The following is a 13,568-nucleotide window of genomic DNA, read 5'->3' on the forward strand; positions in this document are numbered from 1 at the left end:
TTTTTCCTAATAGGAATAAAAGTATTTTTAATTCTTAGATTTTCTCTTTCTTAGAAGTTCAGTACTTCAAAAACCAAAACCAAGATGAGGTCTAACTTTAATCAGTATCATAAGAGAGGAACTTTTGTTAGCTAACTCCTGAGATGTGTAATGAAGTGATAATTTCCATGTATCAGCGGGATCTGAAAAGTTCTTTGTATACAGAATATATTTTCCTTTGGCTTGCAATTTTAGAGGTGGCTTCATTTTCATTTCCAGCAGGTCTTCAACAGACTCCTAACACCTTAGCTTGATTTTCTCCCTTACTCTCTCCACCAAGATGTTTTATTCCTTAAGCAAAGTTGTAAATACCCTAAAGAAATTCTAAGTCGTCTGAACTGCAGTCTTGTGTAACTAAAATAATTATGCTTTAATTAATTGAGCTTGAACTTTTGGCTTTATTTTGAAATGGGTCATTCACATCTGCACTTTGTTGCCCTGTGTTAATGCATATTTTATGTGTCAGGTGAGAGATGAAGAGGGAGAAATGTGAAAAACCAAGTGTAGAAAATTTATGATGCCTCTTTTAGGATCATAAAACTAACAGAGGAGACTGGCGTTTGTGCAGAGGCCTGGGCTGTCATCTAAGTGAATAATCCGCTGAAAAGGTTTCGGCTTGGATTGTCCTGACTGCAAAGACCTTCGTCCCATGAGGACCTGAGTGACCAGGGCTTGAGCAGAGGAAGAGGGAATTTCAGCTTCTCCTTGTGCACAGGAGGAGCCCGTGGCCGAGGGGTCGCCAGTGTAGTGTAATAGACGGAATTCCCTTCTTCCTGCTGGGAATGATTCCGGTGGGTGTGAATCTGTGTCGCAGGAGCTGCGATCCCGGGAAGAGGAGCTGACTCGGGCGGCTCTGCAGCAGAAGTCTCAGGAGGAGCTGCTAAAGCGGCGTGAGCAGCAGCTGGCAGAGCGCGAGATCGACGTGCTGGAGCGGGAACTTAACATTCTGATATTCCAGCTAAACCAGGAGAAGCCCAAGGTAAAGAAGAGGAAGGGCAAGTTTAAGAGAAGTCGTTTAAAGCTCAAAGATGGACATCGAATCAGTTTACCTTCAGGTATGATCTTGTTTTTATGTTTTTGAAAGATTTTTGTGTGTCCTCCTTTTAATCAGTTTTCTTTGTTCATCAGAACCAGGAAAGAGATAGGGAAGTAACTTTGTAAAACAGTGAATGAATGAGTATCTTCAGCTGTAGGCTTAGATTCATGGTTCTAATGTAATGGCCTAATGAGATTCCATGTAGGAAACAGCATTAGGAGCACGTGGTAGTCACAGCACACGAGGATCTAACCCTCAGCGTACTTTCATATTGATGGATTAACTGATTGACTCCTTTTGAAATTGAAGCAGAACCATTTTTTAGCTGAGCGTACTGAGCCAATGTCATGTGGCATTGTGAAGATGCAAAACAACGAAACTGTTAATATTTCATCATTACGTTCATTGCTTCCACAAGGATCTAGGATGTCATCTGGTATCTGGGACACTGATATTGTTGTCAGCACTTTCAATAAAATATATCAAGTACCCTGAGGTACTTTCCCATGAAGGTTTAAAATCCTTCAGACACAAAAATCACCCAGTAAATCTAGGGAAGCTTTTTTAAACATTGTGATAACAACATACAAGGATTACTAAATCATTTTAGTAATGTGTTAGGAGAAACTAAAGGGAATAGAAAATATATCAATCAATCAATACATATAGATATTATTGACTGATAATCAAAATATATCGATCAATATAGCAGACATAGCTTGATTCACTAAATTAAGTTCTTTAATATTATATATTCTACTTGTTGTAAGGAAAAAACAAATACCTCCATGGTATTTTGTGATTCTTTCTAGTACCAGAGCAGGATGATGACAGAGCAATGCAGACTTCACTTTTATAGAATCTGTATGAAATATCTCTATGTCTATGTCTATACCTGCCTATGTGTTATATGTATTATATATTAGAGTGCTCGGACGGATTCTAGTGTTTTCCTAAGATGTTTGTTAATGGCATGGTAATTTGATTTAAAGTGCAACAGTGACAGTTTTGTTTTATGTCGAGTGTGTATAAATTGCCTTATAAAATATGTATTATGAAACACTGGAAAGCTTGCAGAATCCTGTGACTAATTTAGGTTATTGCAGATGTCCTCAGTTGATCAAAAAATTGCTAGTATGACATCTGGGTGCAGTGGCTCATGCCTGTAATCGCGGCACTTTGGTTAGCTGAGGTGGGTGGATCACCTGAGGTCAGGAGTTCAAGACTACCCTGGCCAACATGGTGAAACCCCCTCCGTCTCTATGAAAAATACAAAAAGTAGCCGGGCATGGTGGCAGGTGCCTGTAATCCCAGCTACTCGGGAGGCTGAGGCGGGAGAATCACTTGAACCTGGGAGGTGGAGGTTGCAGTGACCCGAGATCACACCATTGCACTCCAGCCTGGGTGACAAGAGCGAAACTCTGTCTCAAAAAAAAAAAGAAAGAAAGAAGGCTGGGCATGGTGGCTCACGCCTGTAATCCTAGCACTTTGGGAGGCTGAAGTGGACGGGTTGCCTGAGATCTGGAGTTTGAGACCAGACTGGGCAACATGATGAAACCTTGTCTCTACTAAAATACAAAAAAAAAAAAATTAGCTGGGCACGGGGGCGGGTGCCTGTAATCCCAGCTACTTGGGAGGCTGAGGCGGGGGAATCTCTTGAACCCGGGAGCTGGAAGTTGCAGTGAGCCGAAATTGTGCCATTGCACTCCAGCCTGGGCAACAGAATGAGACTCTGTCTCAAAAAAAAAAGAGAAAAAAAGAAAGAAAAGTGCTAGTATGAGGTGGTCATCATGAGAGTCCAGTATATGTTATTGATTATTTGGTTTGATGGGGTGAGAATAGACTGTGGATCCTTATCACTTTTACCTTCAACCTCTCTGGGGTTGGGTGTTGGGGGAAGGTCCTTTTCCAGGCTCTCTTCTGATGTTTTCCTTAGCTGGAGTGTTGCTTGCAGGGTCACTGACTGGTCTGTCTTACGTGTCAGTCAGCCATAGAGAATAGACTATTTATTTATGATGAGGCTTCTGCCTTCACACATAGAGGAAAGAAAAATCCAGAGGTGCACTAGATGTGAGTTTTCTTCTCCATTTTTCAGTTATGTCAGTTTTCTTCTAGCTGTGATTTGATTGTGTTATCCAAATTAATATTTATTGTTTCCCTTGGGAAACTTTGGGGAAGGTGGAAAGGATTAAGAAGCTGATGGAAAGGGAAGTAAATTTGGGATAAAAAATGAAAATCGTTCCAATGATTCTTTCCTCTTCAGTGGTAAAATGATTAAATCAAAATCTTAGCATTCCTGAGGTCAGATTTTCAGTCTTGCTTTTCTTCTCAAATGTTCCTTGGCTAATACCCTGAGTTTATTCAAAGCAGACTGAATATTATTTGACTATTTTTACCTGAGTTGTTTTTTTAATTCCTGTATTGTATTATACAGCTTTTCTTTTCCTGAGAAGAGAGGAGAAATTTTAGTTACACATTTATTTACTTTTTGGCACTTAATGAAAGATTCCAGTTAAAACATAACCAAGAAATCTACTGCTATAATCCTGACCCATCACCAAGGAATGAAATTTGGTTTCTGGAATTTTTAGCATGACAGTTACCTCTTCTGCCCACAAGATGGCACTACATTATCATCTTAATATTAATAATACTGGTACCAATATGGAAATTTCTATTAGAATGCTCCAACCCTAAACTCACACACATGCACGCATATTTACTTGTACAATATCCTAGAATGGGACAGACATCCAAAAAGGGAAATGATAACTATAAAAATAATTATTTTTTTCTTGGAGAATTCCGCTTAGTATAGAAGAGAAAGCAAGCATGTGTAACTTAAAATCCAGGGAGTTAGTTGCATTCAATATTATCTGCTAGAAAATTCTTTAAGTTAGTATTGTTTAATAGGGGAAACAATTCAGGACATGGGCCTAGGCAAAAATTTTATGACTTAAGACTTCAAAAGCTCAGGCAACAAAAAACAAAAATAGACAATTGGGACTATATTGAACCGAAAAGCTTCTGCACAGCAAAGGAAACAATCAACAGAGTGAAGAGACCACCTGTAGAATGGGAGAAGATATTAGTCAACTATTCATCTGACAAGGGACTAGCACAGAATATACACAGAACTCGAATAACTCAATGGCAAAAACACAAATAATTTGATTTAAAATTGGACAAAGGAACTGAATAGACATTTCTCAAAAGAAGACATAAAAATGGCCAGCAAGCATATGAAAAAATGCTTAGCATCGCTAATCCTCAGGGAAATGCTAATGAAAATCACAGTGAGCTAGCTCACCTTAGTTAGAATGGCTGTTATCAAAGAGACGAAAAATAGTAAATGTTGGTGAGGATGTGGAGAAAAGGGAACTCTTACACACATTCTCTTGTAATTTTGTCTTTGAGAATTATTGCTGATCATTTTAAATCTTATGGCTATCTATAGCTAATGGAAGTGTAAGTTAGTACAGCCATTGTGGAAAACAGTATGGAGGTCTCTCAAAAAAAAAACTAAAAATAGAACTGCTGTATGATCCAGGAATTCCACTACCAGGTGTTTACTCAAAGGAAAGAAAATCTGTATATCAAAGGGATGTCTGCAATCCCATGTTTATGGCAACACTATTCACAATGACAAAGATAAGGAATCAATCTAAGTGTCCATCAATGGATGAATGAATTAAGACAATGTGGTGTGTTTACCTGATGGAACACTATTCAGCCATAAAAAAGAATAAAATTCTATCTTTTGTGGCAACGTGGATGAGCCTGGATGACATTATGTTAAGTGAAGTAAGTCAGGCACAAGAAAATAAATACTGCATGTTCTCACATATATGTGGGAGCGAAAAAAATTGGAGTCCGTGGAAATAGAGAGTAGAATTGTGGTTATTGGGGTGGGAAGGGCTTGAGGGGAGGGGAGGTTGCAGAGAGGTTAGTTAATGGATACCAAAGTACAGCTAGGTAGGAGGAATGAGTTCTGGTATTCTGCAATACTATAGGGTGAATATGGTTAACTGTAATTTATTGTATATTTTCAAAAAGCCAGAAGAGAGGATATTGAATGTTCACAACACAAAGAAATGATCAATACCCAAAGTAATACATATGCTAATTACTCTGACTTGATCATTATATATTGTAAACAAGTACCAAAATATCACTCTGTACCCCATAAATATGTATAATTTTTATGGGTCAACAAAAAGACGAAGAGAAACAAATTCTAATACTGTTAAATGGCACACTGTTCAGGGAGAAACGTGATAAGTGGTAGATGGAACAGCGATGCTGTCCTTTCATGGAGTTACCAACTTCTTGAACTCCTTTTGCAGGATTTTTCCCTATGCATAATAAGCTTAGAGAATTTCTCCGAAACATATTCTAGAGTCCTCCAAGCTGACCTTTAATATTTGTGCCTGCAGATCTTTCAAAAACTTGGTATTAAATATGAATCATTACATTCTCTTGTAACTTTGTCCTCGAGAATTACTGCTGATCGTTTTTAATCTTATGGGTATTTATAGCTATGGTGATTTAGTGATAGAAACCTCAAAAGTGATTTTTTTTTCCTCCTGGAATTTCTTCATGGCTGGCTACCAAATAAGGAAGATTAATGCTTAAAAAGTAAGACAGTAATAATCTAGGATAATAATTTTAAAACAATACTTTGTGATTATGTAGTATTTTTCTTGGAATTTGCAAGAGAAAAAAGCATGGTCACAGTGCATCTTTTTATTTTGTGAGTACTCTATATTGATTGCTCCTTCTGTTTATGTTTACTTTTAACTGAAGTTGTGTTTTTTGGACACGTTAATACAAGACAAAAGCTTTAAAGCCTCCAAAAGTTGGTATGTCACTAAAGCAGTGGCATTCTAACTTTGATTGCTTCAGAAGTGTCCAAAGCCTGCAAAAACCATCTACCTCACAGGTATGCGAGTGAGTAGAAGGGTGGATGGGAGAGAGCATATAACCTCACCTGGATTCTTTAGAGAATACATTCCTTTTCATCTGCAAATGGAAGCCTCCCACTGAGGCAATTAGCTTTGTTAGTGAAATATTCATATTGCCAGCAAAAATACTAGGATAGGTTTTACTCAAGCCTGTGATTGAACTATAGCTGCTATGACCAGGCATCTTGAGAACCATTATTCTAGTGAGTACAAAGAAAATCTGAGCACAGGCCACAGGCATTTTAACAATTCAGCTTTAGTTTTCCCAAATGTTTAGCTGGCACAGACTCAACCTTTCCCTACTTCAAAGGGACAAGGATGTTTACGATAAAGAATGTTGGCTGGGCGTGGTGGCTCATGCCTGTAATCCCAGCACTTTGAGAGGCCAAGGCAGGCAGATCACCTGAGGTCAGGAATTCGAGACCAGCCTGGCCAACATGGAGAAACCCCATCTCTATTAAAAGTACAAATATTAGATGGGCGTGGTGGCAGGCACCTGTAATCCCAGCTACTCAGGAGGCTGAAGCAGGAGAACTGTTTGAACTCAAGAGGCAAGGTTGCAGTGAGCTGAGATCTCGCCACTGCACTCCAGCCTGGGTGACAGGAGCAAGACTCCGTCTCAAAAAAAAAAAAAAAAGAATGTTTTCTTTCTGTTTACAACATAAAGTATGCTTTTCAAGTGGAAGTATTTAGGTGTTTTTGGAAGGTTGGAAGCACTCTGAATCTTAGGTGTTGTTAAAATGCAGCCTTGTATCTTTGCTGCTCTCACCCGTGGCTTTCCACGTGTTCCATGTTGGTTTCCTGATCTGTGCTTAGTATTTATTGTCCCATCATTTGTTCCAAATAACTTGTCAATCAGATCCTGTGGCTTGGTTCTTGGCTTTCTTCTGTTATTGACAGGAGGGCTCCTCTTGCTGTAAAAGTTCTCAGAGCATTTGTTTCTGTCGTGTTGTAACAATCAGGTGGCTAGCTGAACATTTATAAATGACTTTAGTCTAAACTGTTTCCTTTCTATGGTTAAGAATTTTTTTTCTTTGACCACCTCTTTCCCCCAACTACCACCACCTAGTCTAGTCAATTTTTTACCTCAACTGCTCTGCCCTGGTCAAGTCTTTCAAAAGGAATGACTTGGGGCTAGGTGCAGTGACTCACGCCTGTCATCCCAAGCACTTTCAGAGGCCAAGGCAGGTGGATTGCTTGAGCCCAGGAGTTCAAGACCAGCCTGGGCAACATGGTGAAACCCCATTTCTACAAAAATATACAAAAATTAGCTGGGCATAGTGGTGCATGCCTGTAGTACCAGCTACTCAGAAGGCTGAGACAGGAAAATTGCTTGAGCCAGGGGAGGTCAAGGCTGCAGTGGACTGAGATTGCACCACTGCACTCCAGCCTGGATAACAGAGTAAAATCTTGTCTTTAAAAAAAAAAAAGTATGACTCAGCAGATGGAGGAGCCTCCCATTTGGTCTTTCCTTTCCGTTTGGTTTGTCTTCCAAATCTCCTCCAGCCTGCTGTGTATTCCTCAGCAACTCACTTCAAGCACCAGCCTGATCCTGTAGATGAACCCTGCATAACTTTCTCCGTCAACAAACACCTGAGGATCTGCTGTGTCCCCAGTACTAGGGGTGATTATAAAACATATATGCAGTCTCTGCACTCATGTTTCCCACAGAGAAAGTACTCATTCAGCAAAGTTTTCTAAGTACCTGTAATGTGCAAGGCACTGTGCCAGTCTGAAGTCATGGAGACTGTCATGGTCACTGCCCATAGAGCACTTACCTTATATTGAGGGAGGGGGCAGAACTTAAGCTAATAATTCAATACTTATTTGCTTCTATAATCATTAGCTGCTGTGAGGGAAAAGTCACATGACAGTGACTAGTGCAGAGATGTAACCTGGTCTAAGGTGATCATAGAAGGCTTCCTAACGGAGTTCGAAACCAGCCTGGGCAACACGGTGAAACCCCGTCTCTAGTAAAATACAAAAAAAAAAAAAAAAAAAATTAGCCAGGTGTGGTGGTGTGCGCCTGTAATCTCAGCTACTCAGGAGGGTGAGGCAGGAGGATTGCTTGAACCCGGGAGGTGGAGGTTGCAGTGCACTGAGATCGCACCATTGCATTCCAGCCTGGGTGACAGAGCAAGACTCCATCTCCAAAAAAAGAAGTAACATTTAAATTGAGACGTGATATGGGAATTTACCAAATACAGAAGATGAAGAAAGAGAATAGGCTGAGAGCACATGTGGAGGAAACTTGGTTTCTTCCAGGAATTGAAAAAAGTTCAGTGTGGTTTGAACAGGGTTCAGCACACTGCCCTATGGGCCCAATCCCGCCTCTACCCGCTTTGTACAGCCATGAGCTCAGAATGGTTTTTACACTTTTAAATGCTTGAAAAAAATCAAAGAGGAAGAAGAATACTTCATTGCACCTGACATGATATGAAACTGATATGAAATTTCAATATCCATAAAGATCATTTTACTGGGACACATTCATCTTTGTGTTGACTGTGGCTGCTTTCTCTCACATCAGCAGAGTCAGGCAGTTGTTACAGAGACTGTGTGGCTCACAGAGCCTAAAATGGGGCATTTTGCAGAAGAAGTGAGCTGACCCCTCTTCCAGGCTGTGACGAGTGAGAGGAGAATAGGGCAAGATGAGGCTGGAGCAGAAAGAAGAACTCAGGCTCAGGTTTGCAGGGACTTCCAGAATGTGTTACAGTTTTAATCTGTAACTTAAGAATCATGAGAGGCCTTTGAAGGATTTTAAGCAGGGGAATGACATGTCAGTCAGGCATATTAAAAATGCATCTGGCTGCTGTGAAGTGGACTTGGGGGGCCAAATGTGGATGCAGGAAGATGGACACAAGGCATTGTAGCAGGCTAGGGATGACATGGTGATTGGCCGTGCAGATGGAGAGAACAAAAGGAAAAAAACATTTATTGAGCATTTATTATGTCCCAACCCCTGTGGTAAGTACTTTTTATACTTCTTTGCACTGAATTTTTCATAGCAGTCCTGTGAAATAGGAATAATTAGTTCTTTTCCATTTTTGTCAGTAAAGATACTGAGACTTCAAGACCTTAAGTTACTTTCTTGAAATTCATATGGCTGTGGTAGAAATGGGATTCAGATCTAAGTTTGCTAACTCCATAACCTGGAATATAAATTTCTCTACTGCAGAAAAATATATAGCACAGAATTTACCTGATATTTTGTGCTTGGTGGATATGTAGGGTAACAGAAAAGACAATATCAAGAAAAGTATTCAGATTTCTAGTATGAATAATTGGATAGCTGTCCTTGCCTACCAACTTCCAAATCCTCTTCATCTCAAATAGCAGTTCATTCATTAAAGTTCTTTAAAGTATAACTTCCAAAAAGGTAAGTTATAGGTCTCTTGCAAATATGAAATGAACATATGTCAAAGATTTTTATTAAACTCATTAATCGTTGAGGAATCAGGTAGAACCAGTTCAAATGAGAATTTGAGGAGTGAGATATTTATGGGCAAATTAATAGAGGAATGCAGGATTAGATTGCTGGGTTAAACGCAGACCTGGTTGATGTCTAATATGGCAATGAACCATTTGGGATTGTCTTTTTCTCCAGACGGAAGTTATTTGCATCATCACCAGACAAAATCTACAAGTTAACCTCTGCTCTTACCTAGTTATAAAAATAACTCAGTCCATAGAAAAGCAATCAATCAAAGCTTAAGCTCAGCTCTGCACTGAAAGAATATCCAGTAATGTCTTTTACCTCCTTCCAAGTTGTTAATGATTTTCCTGATAGTTTATAAAGTTTCCCCAGACACACCCCTCTTTCCTCTGGTAATATTGCTTTCTCTTCCATATGAACCTATAGATCTTGGTATATCTCTACCATATTACAGTTAGATAATAAGAGCCAGCATTTGTAGAATGCCTAGAGCACAAAATGCTTTTAATTTACATTTTCTGTTTTATTCAACACCACGACCACCATGTGAAATATTGTTGTTCACTTTAGCAGGTGAAGAAACAGGCTCAGAGCAGTTCCTTACTGGTTTGAGGTCCATAGCGTGTTATGTTATGAGAACCAGGACTCATTTAAATCCAGGGCCATTTCAATTTAATTTTATTTATTTATTTGTGTATTTATTTGAGACAGAGTCTCACTCTGTTGCCCAGGCTGGAGTGCAGTGGCACAATCTCAGCTCACTGTACCCTCCACCTCCCAGGTTCAAGTGATTCTCCTGTCTCAGCCTTCCGAGTAGCTGGGATTACAGATGTGTGCCACCATGCCGGCTAATTTTTGTGTTTTTAGTAGAGATGGGGTTTTGCCATGTTGGCCAGGCTGGTCTCGAACTTCTAGCCTCAAGTGATCTGCCCACCTCAGCCTCCCAAAGTATTGGGATTTCAGGCATGAGCCACCGTGTTCAGACTTAATTTTAACTATCTCAGACTGAATGCAGATAACTCTTTTTTCCCAGGTTATAAATTCTTCAATGATTCGTGGCTTTCATATTTTCCTTTGTGTGTGTGTGTGTGTGTGTGTGTGTGTGTGTGTATGTGTGTGACTATATCCAACATATAAGCTCTGATTCATTATTTGTGTGACTATATCCAACATATAAGCTCAGAATCATTATTTATTGACCTGAACCCCGAGAAGTAAGAAACCAAAATAAGAAATCGATCCTGCAATATTCTTTGCAGTTAGGGTCTGACCATTTTTGTTTTTATTGCTGTGTGCTAAATACATGGCTATGAAGATAAAGGAAAACCATGAAATACCAGTTCTCCCTTTTTGCCTCCAACAGATTTCCAGCACAAGATAACCGTGCAGGCCTCTCCCAACTTGGACAAACGGCGGAGCCTGAACAGCAGCAGTTCCAGTCCCCCGAGCAGCCCCACAATGATGCCCCGACTCCGAGCCATACAGTGTGAGCTTTCTGCACTGCCACGGGGGCTCCTGTGTTGACTTCTCTCCTTTCACTTGACTTGGATTCAAATTGAGCAGATGTGTTTTCATAGCAGGTTGTAGATGAGTGTAGGACATTTCGTAGGTGCCACAACTATTTGAGAAACAAAACTTGAGCATAGGTTCCTTAGTCTAATTTTCTTCTACTCACAAAAAATGAATTTTAGATGCTATGCAGTTGGTGATGCGACCTGGCCCCGGAGTAGAAAGTGAAACACCACATCTCGAGACATTCTGTTAAACACTTGCACGCAACGTTAGCATAACCTAATTCTATCATCAGCCATTTGTGTCAGGGTACTTTGAAAAATGAAATCAGGAATTCAGGATTACTTCTGTTTCTTTCTTTGTTTCGTGAGGGGAAAAAATTTTTGCTTTTCAGGATTTAACTTTAATTCACTTTAGGTTTGACCAACCTAATACTTAAAAATTCCTTGTAGTGTTTTGGTTTTAGAACAAGCATTCATCCTGGAGGAGACAGTACAGACAGCTGATTCGCCTGGCACCTTTGCATTGTGAGAGTTTCAGTTAGGCTATGAATCAGAATGTAGCGGATGAAATAAAATTACTAATTTTTTTCAAAGGTGAGTCCAGATAAACCCCTAAAAGTAGGCTAAGCGAAAGAAGAATGTGATTAATGCGTATGTCTGTAAGTAATGTGGTAATTAGCCTAAGTCTGTGGTAAACCATTCATTTGGATCCTCTCCTTCCTCCACCAAACTTAATTCCCTGCTGTTTACTCATCCTTATTTGGAGAAAAAAAAAATCCAAAAGAAAATTTTGTCTAATGAGGCTTGCATGGAATCTCATTTTTTTTTCCTCTTTTGATAATGAAAACCTTGGCACCAGCAGAGATTTCTTTTGCAAGTTCTCGGACACCAGGATCCCCACAGAGAAACTGGATCTAAATGAGGCTGTAGTTTTAGAGCTTAAAGGACTGTCATTTATTATAACTGATTTGGTTTTCTGAGAATGCATTTTGCATAAAACCGTACCTCAAACCTTGCCTTTGCCTAGGCAAAGGCCTAATTAACGGAGAGAGAAAGGGTCCCAGGCTGGTCTCCCAGCTCCACGAAGGGATGAGCAGATGGGACACCGTGCCACCCCTGCTTTTGCCTGGCCACTCCTCTGCCCTCTTTCCTGTGTCTTCACCTTCTGCTCTGGGGAAAACCACCTCACAGAAGCCAGGAAGTGGTACTGGGAAGGCCTGGCTGGGCCCAAGATGTGTACCAGTTAAAGTAAATAATTTGGGACTTCAAATGAATTCCAACCCTCCAAAGTTGAAATGCAGCCAGCTTAGGGAGGCGCATCCTTGGCGCTCCTTCTCAGAAGTAACATGGTGGAAAGGTTCTAATCGAGACAGTCCACACAGGGCCAGCTTTGTGTGTGGCAGCTGTTGGCTCAAGTTCTCCAGCCTGGATGTTGCTCATCTTCATTGTGACCCTGGGTGCTCCAAGAATGCCTCTTGTCTTCATGTGTGTGCACACCCCCATTCAATTCTGACAGCCTCATTGAGTGGACCCTTTTATGATCCCCAAATGCGGGACAGAGAAGTTACCATTAAGCTGACCCAAGTTGGTAGCTACTAACTGGTGAAGCTGGATTCAGACACATCTGAGTGTAGATTTCACCATCCGTTTCCGGCCTCTTAGTACAGGAAAAGTTCAATCAATGTGGAAACAAAAGAGAAACCAGAGGAGCAAATCAAGAGGGGAAGGAAAGTAGGAAGGGACGAAGGTGAGGAGACTAAAGCCGAGAGTGTAGATAGCTCTGGGAGTGTAGATCAGTCAGTCAGTCATATAGCCGAGATGAACTTGGGTCTAATAACCCCCAGCTGAAAGCTTTTCCGGTTCTGCTGCCCTCACTTAAATGAAAACTGCTGATCCGTTTATCTGTCATTCTACTGTAAAACTCTTTTAATAAAAAGAATGAACAGCTGATTCAAGATTGTTACACATGCACACTTACATTTAGGCATGCATCTACATTTTTTTTTTTTTGAAATGGAGTCTCACTCTGTTGCCTAGGCTGGAGTGGTGCCATCTCGGCTCACTGCAACCTCCGCCTCCTGGGTTCAAGTGATTCTCCTGCCTCAGCCTCCCGAGTGGCTGGGATTACAGGTGCCCGCCACCACGCCCGGCTAATTTTTGTATTTTTAGTAAAGACGGAGTTTCACCACCTTGGCCAGGCTGGTCTTGAACTCCTGACCTCATGATCCACCCGCCTTGGCCTCCTGAAGTGCTGGGATTACAGGCGTGAGCCATCGCACCCGGCCTAAGCACATTTATATGCACAGACACGTGTATATACACACATATATGTGTATTTTAAAATTTGGAAAATATTGAAACACATGTAAGTAACCAAACATCATCCACAATGTGTCCAATTTTACAAAGTGATATAAAGGAGTTAAATTTCCCTCTACATAGCAATCCTCTCTATTAAATTTAAACACTTTAGTAAGTTTGGTATCTGTGTTTAGTAACTTCTCCTCTGTGTATGTATGTGTGTATATACAGGCATCTATAAACACATAATTTTTAATGAAAATGTATTTATTATATGT

General features: G+C 40.4%; 1 protein-coding gene across 1 annotated transcript in view, besides 1 other annotated feature; it reads left to right on the forward strand.

The window, feature by feature from the left end:
- MAP3K21 (mitogen-activated protein kinase kinase kinase 21) overlaps nucleotides 1-13,568 on the forward strand; it is a 57,425-nt gene that overhangs the window by 33,476 nt on the left and 10,381 nt on the right. Inside the window, exons 5-6 of the mRNA NM_032435.3 lie at nucleotides 854-1,094; nucleotides 10,839-10,961. Coding sequence (NP_115811.2) covers nucleotides 854-1,094; nucleotides 10,839-10,961 — 364 coding nt within the window. The remainder of the gene's footprint in view (nucleotides 1-853; nucleotides 1,095-10,838; nucleotides 10,962-13,568) is intronic.
- Nucleotides 10,419-10,919: an enhancer, noted in NCBI's record as "H3K4me1 hESC enhancer chr1:233507364-233507864 (GRCh37/hg19 assembly coordinates)". NCBI's record gives its function as "activates a minimal SCP1, AML or CMV promoter by ChIP-STARR-seq in naive H9 embryonic stem cells {active_cell/tissue: H9 hESC(naive)}" and the evidence as "EXISTENCE:reporter gene assay evidence [ECO:0000049][PMID:30033119]".

Source organism: Homo sapiens, chromosome 1 (genome assembly GCF_000001405.40).
Source record: "Homo sapiens chromosome 1, GRCh38.p14 Primary Assembly".
In the NCBI taxonomy this organism is placed as follows: Eukaryota; Metazoa; Chordata; class Mammalia; order Primates; family Hominidae; genus Homo; species Homo sapiens.